This window comes from Homo sapiens, chromosome 3 (assembly GCF_000001405.40).
Source record: "Homo sapiens chromosome 3, GRCh38.p14 Primary Assembly".
Taxonomy (NCBI): Eukaryota; Metazoa; Chordata; class Mammalia; order Primates; family Hominidae; genus Homo; species Homo sapiens.
The window spans coordinates 75,438,140-75,458,600 of record NC_000003.12 but is presented as its reverse complement, the minus strand read 5'-3'; the positions used below and the strand labels follow the sequence as shown (position 1 = coordinate 75,458,600).

The 20,461-nt window shown below is 46.4% G+C and overlaps 1 long non-coding RNA gene and 1 pseudogene across 3 annotated transcripts in view, besides 1 other annotated feature; one reads left to right on the top strand and one right to left on the bottom strand.

The window, feature by feature from the left end:
* ENPP7P2 (ectonucleotide pyrophosphatase/phosphodiesterase 7 pseudogene 2) overlaps nt 1-11,836 on the top strand; it is a 44,439-nt pseudogene extending 32,603 nt beyond the window's left edge.
* LINC02018 (long intergenic non-protein coding RNA 2018) overlaps nt 1-20,461 on the bottom strand; it is a 76,870-nt gene that overhangs the window by 53,577 nt on the left and 2,832 nt on the right. Inside the window, exons 2-4 of one of the 3 annotated variants that reach the window (NR_151706.1) lie at nt 14,955-15,093; nt 7,199-7,391; nt 1,115-1,984 (exon numbers count right to left, since the gene is read on the bottom strand). This is a non-coding gene — a long non-coding RNA (long intergenic non-protein coding RNA 2018). Of the gene's footprint in view, nt 1-1,114; nt 1,985-4,472; nt 5,910-7,198; nt 7,392-14,954; nt 15,094-20,461 lie in introns of those variants that run through there. The other 2 variants (NR_151707.1, NR_151705.1) reach the window with 2 other exon arrangements.
* Nucleotides 13,910-14,454: an enhancer, noted in NCBI's record as "H3K27ac-H3K4me1 hESC enhancer chr3:75493298-75493842 (GRCh37/hg19 assembly coordinates)". NCBI's record gives its function as "activates a minimal SCP1, AML or CMV promoter by ChIP-STARR-seq in naive H9 embryonic stem cells {active_cell/tissue: H9 hESC(naive)}" and the evidence as "EXISTENCE:reporter gene assay evidence [ECO:0000049][PMID:30033119]".

Sequence of the window (20,461 nt, the reverse complement as noted above, 5' to 3'; positions counted from 1 at the left end):
TTTAGTCCCAGCTACTCAGGAGGCTGATGTGGAAGGATGGATTGAGCCCAGGAGGTTGAGGCTGCAGCGAGTCAAGATTGAACCACTGCATTCCAGCCTGGGCGACAGAGTGACACCCTGTTTCAACAACAACAAAAAGAATTGAACAAAATAAATTCTCAAATAGTTAGCAGAGGCAGATCTGGTATTCAAATGCAGGTTTTCCAGGTTTCAATTCTTGTTTCTAGCAGTATTATGGAGAAACATGATCACTAATACATGAAGGAGAGGAGGTTTCAAGTTCTGATGAAAAGATGGTAAAGAGAGGAGTTAGTTGACTAGGAGTGACTAGGAATGGGGAGAAAACACGTGGCACTACTTACAGGAAAGAAGAAAAATAAGCATAGAGGTGACTGAGCAGACAGAAAGGACTTGGAAGAAGCGTGTTTGGCCCTGACTCTGCATTTCTTCCCTTGCATTAGTAACTTCCCTGATGACCTGGATGAATCTTCTCTTCCAGGGCACCCAGTGTTCCCTTTCTGTCCACTTCTCCTTTCCCAGGGCCCATACAGTCTGGGAAAGCATGCTCTGCAGGCTTCTCATATCTTTCCTTCCTTAATCAGCCCCTAGCATCTCTATGTAACCCATACACACCTGGAGTTCCACATGTCCCAGTCTTTGCACTGCAGTGAATTCAAAGAAAGGTAGACTCTAGCTGGGCGCAGGGACTCACACCTGTAATCCCAGCACTTTGGGAGGCCGAGGCAGGCGGATCACTTGAGCCCAGGAGTTCAAGACCAGGCCTGGCCAACATGGTGAAACCCCATCTCTAGTAAAAACACAAAAATTAGCTGGGCTTGGTGGTACATGCCCAATAGTCCCAGCTACTGGGAGGCTGAGGCAGAAGAATTGCTGGAACCCGGGAGGCAGAGGTTGCAGTGAGCTGAGATCATGCCACTGCACTCCAGCAGCCTAGACAACAGAAGAAGGCCCAGTCTCAAAAAAACACAAAGACAAAACTAAACCAAACGCACACACACACACACACACACACACACACACACACAAACAAAGGTTGACTCCAATAGGAAAAATTCAGTCAAAAGCAGTTCAAATAATTACTCAGTCAACCCAGTTCTATCTCAGTTCTTTATTATATATATAAACTTATGCTGTCTAGATTCCCTAGTTTTCTTTTTATCTTTTTTGTTTTCTTTTGAGACAGGGCCTCACTCTGCCACCCAGGCAGGAGTATAGTGGCACGATCATGGCTCGCTGCAGCCTCAGCCTCCTGGGATGAAGTAGTTCTCCCACCTCAGCCTCCCAAGTAACTGGGACTACAGGTGCATGTCACCATGCTCAGCAACTTTTTGTATTTTTTGTAGAAACGGGGTCTCACTATGTTGGCCAGGCTGGTCTTGAACTGCTGCACTCAAGAAGTCCACCTGCCTCAGCTTCCCAAAGTGCCAAGATCACAAGCATGAGCCACTGCACCTGGCTGATTCCTTAGTTTTCTTTTTCTCTTTGCCCATTGCCTGGATTCCATAAGCAGAAGGAAAACCCGGGGGCTGACATTGTAGGCAAGACTCTTTCCTCTTCAAAACGTAAATTGGTTCAACTGGTACCAAAACTGAAACGTGTTTATAACTTAACATCTTTTCTTACTACCCCTTCAATCTCTTGAGCAATGAGAAAAGGCACTGGGCTCTTTCTTTAGTGACACATAGTCTGTGCCCTCAAAGAACACTGACACCCCGGCAACATCCATTCGAAGAGCTTATCCGTACCTCCCCTCCTTTATCCCCAAGGTCACTGGGTCAGAGCTCACGGAGTCATTCACAACACGATGTTTAACACTGAGAGGCTCTGGAAGTGCTCCTTCAAGACTCAGAAGAAGACCCATTGCTGAGACAATCGTGTTCTCTCTCTCTCTCTGGATCACCGCCCAGAGACAAGGACTTCCGGAGACCCTGGCTTCCCCGGCTGCTGCCTCTCATTCCTGCACCTGTGGGATGAGAGTTCGAAGCTGTGCGACCTTGACCAAGTTACTTACCCTCTCTAAGCATATGTTTCCCTAAATGTGAAATAGGGATGATGGTGATGTGTTTATTTCACCGATTTGATAGAAGGATTAAATGAGAGATGCATCAAAAGCAGTGGGCACAGGGTCAATGCTCAGTGAGCTTTCTCTTTTCTTATCAATAGATAGGTCTCCATGAGGACAGAGACTGGCTTCATCTCGACTGTAGCCTCAGGGCTGGCCACAGTGTCTGCACCCAGCAGGAATTCAGTAAATATCTGTTTATACACTATCCACAGACTTAGGCATAAAAGCCCTTTGGAAGAAAGTTGACCATTTCATGCACCTTCAGACTATGAAGAGCAATGATGACAACTTTAGCTTGAGAGGGTCTCAGTGCCCATTCATCACCACTGTGAAAAGGCAGAAACCAGAACTGTGTGCTTAACTCCCAGTCCCAAAACCTGTCGGCTTTGCTTTATCACTATGAGCTTCCAATGGCATCCCTTTAGAATGGGGCCTCTCTCTTCTTCCCCAAGGCACCAGCCTTCACCCCAGACCTATCCTTATTACCTGGTTCCTCCTCTCTGTACTCTGAGCCCATGCTGTGCTCGTCAGATAGCAACATGGGAGAATACAACAGCCCAGAATGCAGGCTGCAGTGTTAGCTCCCTAGAAGAGGATCTCAGCTGGCTCCATCCCTCCTCAGCTGGGCGACCGTGGCCAATGACTTGCTCTCTCTGCCTGAGTTGCTCCATCTGGGAAGTTAAGATTGTCATACTCCCTGCTTCAAAGAGTCACTGAGAGGATTAACTGAGAAAGTGCAGGGAAAGTGCTTGGAACTAAATGCTTAAAAAAAGTCCATCTGGCCCGGTGCGGTGTCTCACGCCTGTAATCCCAGCACTTCGGGAGACCAAGGCAGGCGGATCACTTGAGGTCAGGAATTCAAGACCAGCCTGGTCAACATGGCAAAACCCCGACTCTACTAAAAATACAAAAATTAGCCAGGCATGGTGGCAGGCACCTGTAATTCCGGCTACTTGGGAGGCTGAGGCATGAGAATCACTTGAACCTGGGAGGCAGAGGTTGCAGTGAGCCAAGATGGTGCCACTGCACTCCAGCCTGGGCAACAAGAGTGAAACTCTGTCTCCAAAAAAAAAAAAAAAAAAAAAGGTCCATCATTCTTACTAACGGAGGCCAAATCATCTCAGCACTTCTTTGGCTGATCAGTATGCTCCAAGCCAGTGTTATCCAATAGACCAGAGGTCCCTAGTCCCCAGACCACGGACCAGTAGTGGTCTGTGGCCTGTTAGGAACTGGGTTGCACAGAAGGAGGTGAGCAGCAGGCTAGCGAGTGAAGCTTCATCTGTATTTACAGCTGATCCCCCTGGCTGAGCTCTGTCTCCTATCAGATCAGCAGTGGCATTAGATTCTCATAGGAGCACCAACCCTATTGTGAACTGCATGTGGAAGGGATCCAGGTTGTGTGTTCCTTATGAGAATCTAATGCCTGATGATCTGTCACTGTCTCCTACCACCCTGAGATGGGATTATCTAGTTGCAGGAAAACAAGCTCAGGGCTCCCACTGATTCTACATTATGGTGAGTTGTATAATGATTTCATTATATATTATAATGTTCATAACAATAAAAATAAAGTACACAATAAATTTAATGCACTTGAATCATCCGGAAACTTCCCCCCAAAAATCCATGGAAACTGGTCCTTGGTGCTAAAAAAAATTGGGGACCACTGCATTAGACTATTCGGTCATGGTCCAATCAAACATTCTGCAATGGCAGACTTGCTCTACTCTGCACTGTCCAATATGGGAGCTGCTAGCCACCCACATGGGCTGTTGAGCCCTTGAAATGTGGCTGGTGAGAATGAAGAGCTGAATTTTCAATTTTCTCTTATTTTACCTAATTTTTTTTTTTTTTGAGACAGAATCTCACTCTATTCCCCAGGCTGGAGTGCAGTGGCACAACTTTGTCTCACTGCAACCTCCATCTCCCAGGTTCAAGCAATTCTCCTGCCTCAGCCTCCTGAGAACCTAGGATTACAGGAACCCGCCATCATGCCCGGCTAATTTTTGTATTTTTGTAGAGACAGGATTTCACCATGCTGGCCAGGCTGATCTTGAACGCCTGACCTCAGGTGATCTGCCCACCTTGGCCTCCCAAAGTGCTGGGATTACAGGCATGAGCCACCATGTCCGGCCTTAATTCATTTCTAAAGCACAAAATCTAAACAACAAGTGGCTAGGAGCTACCATAGTTTACAAGGCAGCTGTAGAATCACAGGAAATTGTCAATGACCCTGTCCTGCTTCAAGTTGACTTTTCCCCCTCATGGTGACACTCTAGATTCTTTCCCCTTCTCTCACATTTTTTAGATTTTCTGGCTTAGACCATGAAAATAAGTTCTGTCCTTCCAAGAAAATAACGTTCATAACACTTAGTGTATACCAGGCTGATTTCAGTGCTTTACATGTATTAATTTACAACAACTCTGAGGCAAGAGCTGTGATTATGCCCATTTGACAGATGAGAAAACTGAGGCACAAAGTGGTGTTGGAACTTCTCAAAGTCACAAAGGTTGCAGGAGGCAGAACTTGGATTTGAACTCACTTTGGGTTCAGCAACTCACAGCTCTCACCTATGACATAATATTACTTCTGTAGTCAAAACACTTAGACCTGGATTTCACAGGAATCTTGTGCTTGCCTGGCTGCTAGGGAGGTTTTCATCATCTTCCTTATCTCACAGTTCAAAACCCAGGGCCTCCATGCTCTTGCTATGGTGGCCGTTCACTGGCAGGAGGCTTCTGGGAAGGTTCTTCTTTTCTGTCATTTTTCTTATTTGTGTTTTTTTGTCTCATTGGTGTTTATCTGCAGAACTTTGTTTCCTTCTGCTCAATTCATAATCAGAGTGCTTTTCCTCTTGGCTGAATTCATAAGTGTTTATGCAAAAAGAAGTTGGGCACAGATCCAGGCGACTGATGACACCCGGCTCCTCTGGCAAGTGGATATCAAATTGTTGTATGTCGCTCTGCCATTCGCGGCTCCTGCTGTGGGGCTGGGCCATCTGCCAGCTCTCCAAGGAGCTGGCAGGAAACCGCTGCAATCAGCGAACCCACGGCCCAGGTCAGCCCGCCTCGGCATAGCACTCCAGCTGGCCCCCAGTGCCTTTTGGGGACACACCTGCATTGCCAGGCAGGGCTGTGGGAGGGCCGCCTGCCTCCTGTCCATCACAAGGAAAACCTACCCTTGTCCTGCGTCCCTTCAAGGCAGCCTATGTGGAGATTGCTGCATTAACCTTTAATATGGCTATCATTTTTCCTTCAATGACAGTAATGCTGCTAGAACCCATCCAGATACCCAGGAACTAATGTGACTTAGCAGATGATGCTGGAAAGATGGGATTCCCGGCAGCCTTTGCATCCCTTGCTCACAGCCCACGAGCATCTCCACCATCCAGCAGGGCTTCTCTCACAGTCAGGGCAGAAAGAGAGAGAGTCTATCTGGAACAGGCTCGGATTTTAAATGAGTGTTCCCAATAATTCAACATGATCGATGGCTGAGGTATTTCACCAAGTTCAGGAGTCCCAGTTCTCAGAGAGAGGCAGCCAGCCATGACTGTAAGACCTGGGCAAACCGTACAAAGAAGACGGCAGGTCTCACCCCTCCCCAGAGAGCTCCAGAGAGTATCAAAGAGTGAAACAGCAGAGGGATGGTCTGGGTGGGGTCATCGTGGCTGACAAGGGTCTGTGACAGCACCTTGTTAGGCTACTCCGAAGAGGAAATTTGGAGAGAGAGTGGGAGGGCAGCTCTCAGTGCAAGCCAAGTCTCCTGGAAAATAACTTTCAAACTTTGGAGGATTGTGAGCAAGATGGGACCAGCAACTTCTACCTAAAAGAATGTTAATAGCAAGATAACTCATCCTAATATTGGTACAAGCTAGGTCTTTATTATGCATCATAAAGGCTCTGAGAATAACAATGTAACCTCCAAAAGGGCTGGGGCTTTGAAGAATCTCAGGCAACTCGCTTCGTTCTGCTCAGTGACTCCCCTGGAGCAAAGCAAAGCAAGGAAACACTTAGAGCCAAGCTTGAGTTTTGAATTTCAAACACAGGGAGTCCATCTCTTTCTACCCAATTGTTCCCTAGAATCAGTAACTATCTCCTTCCCCTTAACGGCACGTACTTCCTACCAAAGCACAAGCACGATGGGCTGTCCATGAGCCTCCCCCAAATATGTGCACCTTGTGACATAAATTCTGTCAGCCAAAGACACCAGACAAAATGCAAAACCAAAGTGGAGCCTTTCCTTGAATTATAGGTTCTAAAGAGTTTTGGGCTCTCTACAAAACCCAAGAGTTAGGAATTGCCTGTAAGAAGCACCAGCCCTTGTTTTAAAGAGGCAATTTAAGAATAATAGCCACGCTGATGCCACACTACGATAAGGGAGAATAATTAACCTAATAAAACTAGCGATTTTCCAATTACTTTTGCTGCTGGAAACACTGATTATGCTAATTAAAGGGTAGAATAGTAAATACTGACTCTTTTGCATCCAATTAAGTGTTCAGATTATTTCTCAGAAGTGTTTGTTGAAAATAGCACTTCTGATAATCGTGGGTCCCAAATAAACAGTCAATTGTGGTGTGGTACATGTGTGAGTGTGTGTGTGAGTGTGTGTGCATGTGCACACATGTGTCTTTCTGGAGCTCATTTTATGGAGATCCTGCATAGCTCCCCAAATTCCTATGAGACCAAATAAGAAAAATCACAGTTTCCTAAGACTACAGCTTGGGATATCTTTGGAAAAGGTGTGTATTGAGAACACAGCATACAGAACCTATTTCACATTGGCAATATCTGTGATTTAACATTGCAAACATCAGAAATACAACTGGTTCTTCAGAGCCACCTAAGTCCCTCATAATGGCAATATTAGCTTCTTCTAAATAATAAGTTAGCCAGTGAAACTATGTTCTACAGCATGTTAGAAGTTTCATCCTTCTAGTCAATGTCACATTTCAAGGCAAAGTCGATTGATATGTAAGTTAACAAAAGTGCTGTCACTAAAAATTGAGAATTATGTCTAATGCCAATCAGAAATGGAATAAATAAGTATTAGAGGATTTGCAAGTAAAAGCAACCATAGAAATGCTTTTATCAGGAAGGAAAATGTATTACCTGCAGAGGTTACAGATAAGACGCTAGAACCCAGAAGAGAAAGAATCTCTGTAAATATTTCCATTAAGTTAATCAAGAGTGGCTGGGTACGGTGGCTCATGCCTGTAATCCCAGGACTTTGGGAGGCCAAAGCAGGCAGATCACGACGTCAGGAGTTCAAGACAAGCCTGGCCAACATGGTGAAACCCTGTCTCTATTAAAAATACAAAAAATTAGCCAGGTGTGGTGGCGTGCAACTGTAATCCCAGATACCCGGGAGGCTGAGGCAGGAGAATTGCTTTAATCCAGAAGGCAGAGGTTGCAGCGAGATGAGATCACACCATTGCACTCCAGCCTGGGTGACAGATCATGGCTCCGTTTTGAAAAAAAAAAAAAAAAAAAAAAAGAAGGAAAGTTAATCAGGAGTGAGAATAGGATGAGTTTTTCACCCACAAAAGGAGATGAGATTCATGCGTTCTTTCAACATGCATTCCATCAATAGTGAGCACATGCTCTGAGCTAGGCCCGTTCTAGGTCCCAGGAAATGGGTAACTAACCAGACATGACCACTGATTTGGAGCTCACATTTTACAGCAGCTAAATGGACAGTAAACAAGTAAGCAAATTAAGATCATCTTAAGTTGGGGGAAGTTCTTTACAGAAGCACTTCCACAAAGCTGAATCGCATCATAGACTATGACTGCCAGGTGGTAGGGAAGGTAATATCTCACCTGCCTGTGGATAGCAGAGCTTCTGAGGCCTTGCAAAGTATTTAGTACTAAGATATCTGTCTTAGGTCAAGTTCCCTAAAAGCAGAGCCTGAGGCAGGGATTGAGTGCATGTAATTCATTCAGGACTCTCAGTAGATAGGAGTAAGGAAAACAGGATATGGCAGGGAAGGAGCTAAGTGAGATGTGGTCTCAGCTGGAGACTGGCTCCAGTCTGATCTCACAGGGAGTTCCAGAGGATCAGCTGCACCACCATGTTATCCCAGACTGAGATCTTTTGTTCTCCTGTATCAGCCGGTCCCTGGCCAAGGGCTGCAGACTCTCTTGGGGCCCCAGCAGACTGGAGGAGAAGGAGCATGGTCTGTGGTCTACTCTTTTGTGCACCCCCACCCACCTCTTCCCCAGCTGACACTGCTGGAGGAGGAGAGGGAAGAGATGTCATCTCCTCCTATGGCAACCTGTGGGATAGCAATGGCCCTTTTCCTGTTGGGTGTAACCTCCTGCCATCTCTTGCTGTCTGCAGCCTGACAGAGAAGGGTGAAGGTCACCAGGTTCCACTGACAGCGGTCATTGTCTCAAGCAGCAACCCTAGGACTGCAGCTCCCTTGCAAGATTCAGCCACATCTCATGACTGTCTGCAACACACCCCATGCCTCTGATGGAAGGAACCCAATGCCCCATGCTGCACCCATTTCTGCCAGACTGGGGTCCCTGATCTCAATTTCCCTCTGCAGTCCCCAACTCTGGGGTCTGCAGACACATTTCAGATCCATCCTTAGTACCTCCCAGGAGGCAGAAGCCAGAGGAAATAATCCTTGCCCCAATGCACCTGAGCATGCCACTTCACTGTATGCTCTTTCTCCCTCTCCAGGAAAAAATCAAGCTTGTTGAATACTTACCAATGCGCCCACATGAATTTAGTCCCCATAACCACTTAATGGGGCAGCATTATCATCCCCAAGTTACAGATGAGGAAACTGAGGAGAGCATTTATATAACATGCATCTAAGTGGTGGACAAAGGATCTAACCAGGCAGTGTGGCACCAGAGCACACTTTTTTGTGCTTTAGGGAGATGGGGTCTCTCTCTGTCCCTCAAACTGGAGTGCAGTGGCCTGATCATGGCTCACTGCAGCCTTGAACTCCCGGGCTCCAGCAATCTTCCCGCCTCAGCCTCCTGAGTAGCTGGGACTACAGGCATTCACCACCAACCCAGCTAATTTTTAAAACATTTTTCTAGAGATAGGGTCTGATCTCAAACTCCTGACTTCAAGCGATCCTCCTGCCTCAGCCTCCCAAACTGCTGGGATTACAGTCATAAACTCCTGCGACCAGCCCAGAGCACACTTTTTTTTTTCTTTTGAGATGGAGTCTCACTCTGTCACCCAGGCTGGAGTGCAGTGGCAAGATCTCGGCCCAGGGCACACTTTTAACCACCATATCATTCTGCCTCTGGGTAGGTCAGTCAAGCTCTGTAGCTGATCAGATGTCTGTAGAGAGAAGGAGACATCAGTCTCCCCATCTTCCAAACACCCCCGAATTTTACAAGTGATTTTCTCAGATCCCTCAGCATCAGGAATGGGGATGAGCAGGGCAGCCTGTCCCCTTCCCAACAGCCCAGCAGATATCCCAAGATTACATCTCATTGGCTCTGACTAGGACATGAGCCCAAAGCTGAACCAGTTGCTGTAGCCATGGCATGCAGCATCTTCGGTCCTCTGGCCAGGCCAGAGCCACATCCCACCTCTGGATCCTCGAGTTGAGTCAATACATCTTGAACCAGGCACGGACTGAAGCTCAAGGGGGAGTCAGAGTAATGTGACCCAGCCCACCATGTAGTGGGTGCTGAGCAGGCAAGCATTCATCACCCACTGCACACACCAGGGAAGGCTTGTGGTGGCTAAGTCCCACCTGAGGGCAAAGAAAAGAGTGCCTGCTCCGTGCCAAAATGTGATGCCCAACACTGTATCTTAAAGCTAGCTGGCTTTGTAATCCCAGCTACTTGGAGGCTGAGAGAGGAGAATCACTTGAATCCAGGAGGCAGAGGTTGCAGTGAGCCAAGATCACACCATTGCACTCCAGCCTGGGTGACAAGAGAGAAATTCTGTCTCAAAAAAAAATTAAAAAAAGCTAGTCGGCTTCATCCTCGCAAAGATGCCATCTACTTTTTGGCATTCTACAGGTAGAAACACTGAGGCACTGGAAAATTTTAAAACTCACCACCAGCCTGGCGTGGTGTCTCATGCCTGTAATCCCAGCACTTTGAGAGGCTGAGGCAGGAGAATTAGTTGAACCCAGGAGTTCAGGACCAGCCTGGGCAAATTAGCGAGACCTCATCTCTACAAAAAAAAAAAAAAAAAAAAAAAAAATTAGGGCTAGGTGCGGTGGCTCACACATGTAATCCCAGCACTTTGGGAGGCCAAGGCAGGTGGATCACTTCAGCCCAGGGGTTCGAAACCAGCCTGGCCAACATGACAAAACTCTATCTCAACTAAAAATACAAAACTTAGCTGGGCATAGTGGCACGTGTCTATAATCCCAGCTACTTGGGAGACTGAGGCAGGACAATTGCTTGGACCCAGGAGTCAGAAGTTGCAGTGAGCTGAGATCGTGCCACTGCACTCCAGCCTAGGTGAGAGAGTGACACCGTGTCACAAAAAAAAAAAAAAAAAAAAAAAAAAAAAAAATATATATATATATATATATATATATATGTATGGTGGTACATGCCTGTGGCCCCAGCTACTCAAGAGGCTGAGGTGGGAGGATCGCTTAAACCCAGGAGTTCAAGGGTGCAACGAGCTATGATTGTACCACTGCAGCACCATATATACACATATATATGTATATGTATATAGGTATGTCTATATATACACATATATACACGTATATGTGTGTGTATATATATATATATATATATATGTATATATATAAAAAACACACATGCACAAATTCACCACCAACAACACAGAAATTACCGTCTCCCTCTATTCTAAGGAATTATTTTTCATTTTGCCATCTCTGAAGTTGGAATACACCTTACAATCACTGGTAAGTCACGGTCTCGTTGGCAGCATTTTTCTGCTTAGTAGCCCATAAAATAATAGCACATCTTGTAACTAACAGTGTTGTAGATGCTATGAGATCCTGGGGAAGCCCAGAATCTAACTCCACCCTGTCTGACTCCAAAGACCACATATTTTCTATGTCTTTGGACTGGGGCACAGATGTAGACAACTCGAGCTTTGCTGATTGTGAGAAAGGTATGATAAATGGCCCTGACGGAATTTTCTTCTTGTACTTGCAGGGCAACAAAGCAGCATCATCCCACTATTCCAGGGGAGGTGCTAAATACGAGGGTGAGGCTGTCAAGCAGTCCCTGGTGGAGTCCTACACTCACCCAAACAGCAACGAGACAGAGCGGAGTGCGAACATCGATACTGTCATGAACTGGTTCACCAAGGAAGACTTTGACTTTGTGACTCTGTGTTACAGAGAGCCAGATAACGTGGGACATCGATTCAGGCCAGAGGCAGAGAATAGGAAGTTGATGATTCAGCAAATCGACAGGACCATCAGGTATCTGGTGGGAGCCACTGAGAAGCACAGCCTGCAGAACACCTCAGCGTCATCATCACATGAGACCATGGGATGACCACCGTGAAGAAGAGACCCAATGTCAACAAGATCCCTTGTCCAACTACATCAAGTTTATGGACTTGGTCAAGTTTGATATTGTGGGCTACGGTGGCTTTGGGATGCCCCTGCCCAAATTGGGGCAAGAGGAAGCCCTTTACCAGGCACTGAAGAATGCGTACCCTCACCTCCACATCTACAAGAAGGAGGGGTTTCCAGAACACTTCCATCTCGCTAAACATGACCGGGTTCTGCCAATCGTGATGTATGCCAACTTTGGTTACAGTATCAATGGGGTAAGTTCATTCTAAAATGAATAAAGTCACCTTGGATCTAGGAGACATCCATTAGGGAAGGGTGGTTCTGCAAAAATCAAACATAAGAGCACAGCCGGGCACGGTGGCTCACGCCTATAATCCCAGCACTTTGGGAGGCTGAGGCAGGTGTATCACCTGAGGTCAGGAGTTTGAGACAAGCCTGGCCAACATGGTGAAACCCCATCTCTACTAGAAATACAAAAATTACCTGGGCGTGGTGGTGCGCATCTGTAGTTCCAGCTACTCTGGAGGCTGAGGCAGGAGAATCGCTTGAACCTGGGAGGCAGAGGTTGCAGTGAGCTAAGATCGTGCTACTGCACTCCAGTCTGGGCAACAGAGTGAGACACTGTCTCAAAAAAATATAATATAATATAATATAATATAATATAATATAATATAATATAATGTAATATAATATAATAAAACAAAACAAAACAAAACAAAATAAAATAAGTGCCCACGCTACGAGCTGTAGCCCACAGGGTCCTAAATGTTCCCCACCCCCCGCCCAACCAATGCTGCCCCAAATTACCATTATACAAGATTAATGACCAATTCAACTCGACAAGGCTGATTTAAAAATAAAAATAAGGCTGGCCATGGTGGTTCACACCTGTAATCTCAGTGTTTTGAGAGGCCAAGACAGGAGGATTGCTTAAGGCAAGGAGTTCAAGACCAGCCCGGGCAACATAGGGAGACCCCAACACTACAAAAAACAAACAAATAAATAAATAGCCAGACATGGCGATGCATGCCTGTAGTCCCAGCTACTCAGGAGGCTGAGGTGGCAGGATTTCTTGAGCCCAGGAGGTCAAGGCTGCACGAAGCTGTGATTGCACTACTGCACTCCAGCTTGAGCAGCAGACAAGACCCCGTCTCTAAAAAATAAATAAACAAATAATAAAAAATAAACACCAACTTCATTATTCAAAATTGTGCATAGCGCTTCACTAAACATTGAATAGCAGTTCTTTCATTTTTGTCTTCCCAACAACCCTATAAAATAGAGGCTCTTAGTTCCACTATTTAAAAGAAGAAATCAAAACCTAGAGAGAAGTGACTTGAGATTAAAAATGTAAGTTTGGGCTGGGTGTAGTGGCTCGCACCTGTAATCCCAGCACTTTAGAAGGCTAAGGTAGGTATATTGCTTGAACCCAGGAGTTTGAGACCAGCCTAGGCAACACAGTGAAACACCATCTCTACAAAAAATGCAAAAAAATGTAGCTGGGCGTAGTGGCACGTGCCTGTGGTCCCAGCAACTCAGGAGGCTGAGGTGGGAGAACTGCTTGAGCACGGGGGTGTTGAGTCTGCAGTGAGTCATGATCACGCCACTGTGAGATAGGAGGCAGGACTTGACTCCACAGGCGAGGCTTGGACACCAGACCAAATTGAGGACTAGCTAAAACAGGGCTGGGGCAGAAGCAGCTTTCCATCAGACATGCCCACCAGTGTGCTATGTGAGTTGACTATTGCCAAGGCAACACCCGGGAGTTACTGCCCCTTTCCATGGCAATGACCCAATGACTCAAAAGTTACTACCCATTTTCTAGAAATTCCTGCATAAACTGCCCTTTAATCTGCATACAATTAAAAGTGGGTATAAATGTGATTGCAAACTCTCTGCCGCTACTCTTTGCCTCCAGGGTAACCCTGCCCTACAGGAGCAGTCACAGGGCTGTAATGCTGCCTCTTCAATAAAGCTGTTTTCTTCTATACCTCCGGCTTGCCCTTGAATTCTTTCTTGGGTAAAGACAAGAACGCTCACGTGCTATTGAGAGGTGAGAGCATGCCGGCAGCCCTCGAGCTCACTCTCGGTGCCTCCTCTGCCTGGGCTCCCACTTTGGCGGCACTTGAGGAGCCCTTCAGCCCGCCGCTGCACTGTGGGAGCCCCTTCCTGTGCTGGCCGAGGCTGGAGCCGGCTCCCTCAGCTTGCAGGGAGGTGTAGAGGGAGAGGCCTGGGCAGGAACCGGGGCTGGGCGTGGCGCTTGCGGGCCAGCGCGAGTTCCGGGTGGGCATGGGCTCACTGGGCCCAGCACTCAGAGTGGCCTGCCAGCCCCGCTGGACCCAGGCAGTGAGGGGCTTAGCACCTGTGCCAGCAGCTGCTTTGCTCAGTTTCTCGCAGGGCCTTAGCTGCTTCCCTGCAGGGCAGGGCTCGGCACATGCAGCCCACCATGCCTGAGCCTCCCCCCAACCCTCCGTGGGCTCCTGCGCAGCCTGAGCCTCCCTGATGAGTGCCAAGCCTCCCCAATGAGCACCGCCCCCTGCTCCAGGGCGCCCAGTCCCATCAACCACCCAAGGGCTGAGGAGTACCAGCACAGGGCGTGGGAGTGGCAGGCAGCTCCACCTGTGGCCCCCGTGTGGGATCCACTTGGTGAAGCCAGCTGGTCTCCTGAGTCTGGTGGGGACTTTGAGAAGCTTTATGTCTAGCTAAGGGATTGTAAATACACCAATCGGCACTCTGTATCTAGCTCAAGGTTTGTAAATACATCAATCAGCACCCTGTGTCCAGCTCAGGGTTTGTGAATGCACCAATCGACACTCTGTGTCTAGCTAATCTAGTAGGGACTTGGAGAACTTTTGTATCTAGCTCAGGGATTGTAAATGCACAAATCAGCACCCTGTCAAAACAGACCAATCAGCTCTCTGTAAAACAGACCAATCGGCTCTCTGTAAAATGGACCAATCAGCAGGATGTGGGTGGGGCCAGATAAGGGAATAAAAGCAGGCTGCCCCAGCCAGCAGTGGCAACCCACTGGGGTCCCTTTCCACACTGTGGAAGCTTTGGTCTTTTGCTCTTTGCAATAAATCTTGCTGCTGCTCACTCTTTGGGTCCACATTGCCTTTATGAGCTGTAACACTCACCTCGAAGGTCTGCAGCTTCACTCCTGAAGCCACCGAGACTATGAACCCAATGGGAGGAACAAACAACTCCAGACGCGCCACCTTAAGAGCTGTAACACTCACTTTGAAGGTCTGCAGCTTCACTCCTGAAGCCAGCGAGACCACAAACCCACCAGAAGGAAGAAACTCTGAACACATCCGAGCATCAGAAGGAACAAACTCCAGACACGCCGCCTTTAAGAACTGTGACACTCACCGTGAGGGTCCACGGCTTCATTCTTGAAGTCAGTGAGACCAAGAACCCACCAGTTCCGGACACACTATGCTCCACTTCGGGGCTCCCCTGCCCTGCGTCAACTGCACTCTGGCCTGGGTGGCAGAGAGAGAGACCCTATCTTAAAAAAAAAAGAAAGAAATGTAAGGTTAAGTGCTGCCCCCAAGCCTGAGTGGCTGATCATTATACAGAGTACACAAAGATCACCAAAACAGTCACTACAGAGGCCCCCCGCTGCTGGTTCTCATTTGCCCATATCAAAAAATATGCAAGCCTGTTCATACAAAGACACACACAGATGCTCGTAGCAAAATTATTCATAATTGTCAAAAGTTGGCAACAACACAAATGCCTATCAACAACAGATGAATGGGCAAACAAATACAGTCTACCCATGTGATGGAACATTAATCAGCCAAAATATGGAATGAAGGGCTGATTCATGCTACAACCTGGATACACCTTGAAACCATTAGGCTAAGTGAGAGAAGCCAGACAAATATTAGATGATTATATATATATATATATATATATATATATATATATATATATATATGCCCAGAATATGAAAATCCAAAGAAACAGAAAGTAGATTAATGGTTGCCAGGAGCCAGGGGTGGGGATAGTCGGGGAGAAATAAGGGGTGACTGCTAATGGATACAGGGTTTCTTCTGGGGTAATTAAAATTTCTAAAATTGATGGTGATGATGGCTGCAAAACTCTGTGAATATATTAAAAACCACTGAAATATACACATTATTTATTTATTTAGAGACAGGATCTGGCTCTGTTGCACAGGCTGGAGTGCAGTGGTGCAATCTCAACTCACTGCACCATCCACCTCCCAGGCTCTAACCATCCTCCCACTTCAGCCTCCTGATTAGCTGGGACTACAGACACACACCATCATGCCCAGCTAATTTTTTTGTATTTTTGGTCAAGACAGGGTTTTGCCATGTTGCTCAGGCTCATCTCAAACTCTTAGGTTCAAGCGATCCTCCCACATCAGCCTCCCAAAGTGCTGGGATTACAAGTGTGAGCCACCATGCCCGGCCAAATGATACACTTTAAATGGGTAAATTGTATGGTATATGAATTATCTTTCAATAAAGCTGTTATTAAAAAGCAGCTTTAAGGGCCAGACATAAGGGCCATGCCTGTAATGCCAGCATTTTGAGAGGCCAAGGCAGGAGGATCACTTGAGCCCAGGAGTTCAAGCCCAGCCTAGACAACATGGCAATACCTGGTCTCTACACAAAATTTAAAAATTAGGATTGGCGTGGTGGCTCACGCCTGTAATCCCAGCACTTTGGGAGGCTGAGGTAGGGGGATCACTTGAGGTCAGGAGTTCAAGACCAGGCTGGCCAACATGGTGAAACCCTGTCGCTATTAAAAATATTTTTTAAAAATTAGCCAGGCCTGGTGGTGGGTGCCGAGGCTGAGGCAGAAGAATCGCTTGAACCGAGAGGTGGAGGTTGCAGTGAGCCGAGATTATGCCAGCGCACTCCAACCTGCTGGGCGACAGAGCAAAACTCCATTTCAAAAAAAAAAAAATTAAAAATTAAAAATTAGCCAGAGGTGGTGGCTCGTGTTTGTAGTCCCAGCTACTCAGGAGGCTAAAGTGGGAGGACTGCTTGAGCCCAGGAGGTTGAGGCTGCAGTGAGCCAAGACTGTGTTGTTGCACTCTGGCCTCAGCAACAGAACAAGACCCTGTTTCACAATTTTAAAAACAACTAAAAAACAAGCCTAAAGAAAACACAAAAACCAATGCTAACTGTGAGACATAAATGAGGTGGTCTATTTTTTGTTAACTACCAACTAACAATTCATGGCAGAAACAAAGTTTAAATGATGCTATAGCCGGGAGCTGTGGCTCACACCAGTAATCCCAACACTTTGGGAGGCTGAGGCGGGTGGATCACCTGAAGTCAGGAGTTTGAGACCAGCCCGGTCAACATGGTGAAACCCTGTCTCTACTAAAAATACAAAAATTAGCCAGGTGTGGTGGCGCGTGCCTATAATCCCAGCTACTCGGGAGGCTGAGACTGGAGAATCGCTTGAACCCCGGGGGGGCGGAGGTTGCAGTGAGCCAAGATCGCACCATTGCACTCCAGCCTGGGCGACAGAGCGAAACTCCGTCTCAAAAAATGAATAAATAATTAAATAAATGATGCTATAAACCTCATGTGAGGGAAGACTGCCCCACGTACAGCTTGAAGAACCCTTGCTGTGAATAGGAGCCAAATACGATAATTATGTTTGCAACTTGCTTCATGTCAGCTTGTTGCAACTCCAGAGTGTAACAGGTATGAGAAAACTCATGGAGTTACTGTTTAATGTTGGTGGAAATATTCACATTAAAATACAACAGTTAATCACCTAAGGTATATTTTATCCCTCAAGTGGCCCGGAACACTGTGATTATTGCACACTAATCGCACGCCCATAGCTAAGGCATTGCCAAGGAGAAATTCCACAGTCACCTGGCCTATTTGTAAACCTGGTTTATGACGTTTTGTAACAGGATATCTTGACAGTAGCATGAGGACATTTAACGAGACAAGAACATTCCCCACTGACCAACCAGATGGTTTCAGGGAACAGGATGCTGTGCTCAGTTTAATATTCTGCTGGACCGACCATTAGGCAGAAAATCCTTTGGGTCAATGCCTCTCACTGAATCCACTTCTCAGATTCCTGTCCACCTGCCTGCTTTGCAGTGCAGTGGGCCTTCCTTGACTCTCTTCAGGGACCAATGTGCTTGAGGCCATCATGAGGACATTCATTTTTTTTTTTTTTTCCTGAGAGACTCTCGCTCGGTCGCCCAGGCTGGAATGCAGTGGTGTGATCTCAGCTCCCCACTGCAATCTCTGCCTCCCAAGTTCAAGTGATTCTCCTGCCTCAGCCTCCTGAGTAGCTGGGATTACAGGCACGCATCACCAGGGCCAGCTAATTTTTCTATTTTTTGTAGAGACAGGGTTTCACCATGTTGGCCATGCTGGTGTCGAACTCCTGACTTCAAGTGATCCACCTGCCTCGGCCTCTCAAAGTGCTGATATTACAGGTGTGAGCCAACGTGCCTGGCCGAGGGCTTTCATTCTCGATGGACTGCTCCATAGCCTCAGAGACAGTCGGACTAGTTTCTTCAACCAGAGCGGAGCAGACAGGCAATTTCTGTATCCACCAGGAGAAATATTAGACCAACTCTTCAATTTACAGAGAGCATCACATTTCTTATATGCTAGAATATCTCTTGGTCTAAAATATAAATAAATAGTATTGTAGCCAGCCACAGTGGCTCACACCTATAATTCCAGAGCTTTGTGGGGCTGAGGCAGGAGGTTCACTTGAGGTCAAAGTTCAAGACCAGCCTGGGCAACATGGCGAGACACCCCCCCACCGCCACCTTCCATCTCTACAAAAATTAAAATAATTAGCTGGGCACAGTAGTGTGGGCCTGTAGTCCCAACTACTTGGGAAGCTGATGTGGGTGGATCGCTTGAGCCCAGGAATTTGAGGCTGCAGTGGGCTATGACTGCATCACTGTACTCCAGCTAGACCTTGTCTCAAAAAAAAAAAAAAAAAAAAAGTTGCAATTGACATTACTTTATCATTTGAAAACAGGGACAGACAAGAAAGGTATTTGGCATTTACCAAGCAATTACCCAGAATCCTCATCCCATCCTACCCCCACCCTTCCCCTAAAAATGTATGTATATGTTTTTATACCATAAAAAATACATCTATTTGGCTCTGGAACCAGATTGCTTGGGTTCAATTACCTGATCTAGCATTTGCTCCTGATGACTCAGTGCAGAAAAGCTCTGTAACTCAGTTTCCCCAGCTGTAAAATGGGGAATGGAGCCTTTACTGGGCTGCCATGAGGGTAAGGGAGGTAACATATATTTATAAAGCATTCAGAACAATTCATGATACATAGTAAGCTCTATATATTTGAACTTATTATTACTGTCAGTACGATTATCATCATCTTGCTGTTTCCAATGGGTACGCTTTCTACATTCTCTTTCTTAAAGACCTTTAAATCCTTGGTATTCTCTCCACCACCACAGAGAGCAGTGTCCTTGCCGTTTAAATTTTCAAAGACTTCATGGATCCAATAAGCATGCCATTAACTAAGGGACAGTTTTCTTTCAGTGGATTAGAATCTAAAATGGCTTTTTTATTGTTATTATTGGCCAGGCTGGTCTCAAACTCCTGACTTCAAATGATACCCCCACGTCACCCTCCCAAAGTGTGCTGAGATTACAGGCATGAGCCACCATGCCTGGCCCTCATTCTCTTCTTTTATAAGGACACCAGTCATTGCATCTGCCCCCTCACTAGCAGCCCCCAATCCAGGATGACTCATCGTTACTTGATTACATCTAGAAAGACCCTATTTCCAAATAAGGTCACATTCCTGGGTACCGAGGATTAAGATTTCCAACTTTTTCCCTGACCCATTTTTTTTTTTTTTTTTTTTTTGAATCAGGGCCTCACCCTGTCACCCAGGCTGGAGTACAGTTATGTGATTATAGCTCACTGCAGCCTCAAACTCCTGGGCTCAAGGGATCCCCTGACCTCAGCCTTCCAAGTGGCTGAGACTACAGGCGCACACCATCATGCCCAACTAATTTTTTTTTTTTTTTTTTGTACAGGTTAGGTCTCACTCTCTTGACCAGGCTGGTCTGACCTCAAGCGATTCTCTTGCCTTGGCCTCCCAAGGCACTGGGATTACAGACATTATCCCGTGCCTGGCCTTCTTTCTACATCTCAATCATTGTATCATTAGCCTGAGCTGCCCATATTCCTTATTCTGCCCATCCCTGACCAATCTCCTCCTTTAACATAACTTCCATCTCGATATCATGGGGCCTGCTGGGCACTGCAAACAGCCTAAGGAAAGTGGAAACTTTACTTAACCTTAAATTCTATTACAAAGCCCACATTGAACGTAATTTATATTTGAACTATAAAAATTTTCTGTAAGTTGAAACATGACCTATAAAGGTCTCTACACCCTGAAGCAACGTTTTAGAAAGAAATCAACTGGTCCTTTTCTACAGAAACCATTAACCATAGGAGAGATAAAAGAAAAACTTCAATGTACTGATTGAAACTTCCATGCCCATAGCTTAACTTCTAAAAGGCAACCATTCCATACTGTTAAACTGCCTTAGGTTGTTATTACTATTATTAAAGAGACCCTGAAAGCCAGAAGTTGAATCTTGACTGTAGTTCTTGCACGTACACGCACACTCTTGCAACTGAAACCACTCAGATTGTCCTAATGCTGCTCCCCATAGCAACACCACCTGGAATTTTACGTTTGTTTTTAAGCATCAGTCGTAATCTTCACTTGCACCCGAACACACAGCACCTGTGAGAGCCACGTGACATTAAAAAAATCCCTTCAGTGAGGCCGGGAATGGTGGCTCATGCCTGTAATCCCAGCCCTTTGGGAGGCCAAGACAGGTGGATCATGA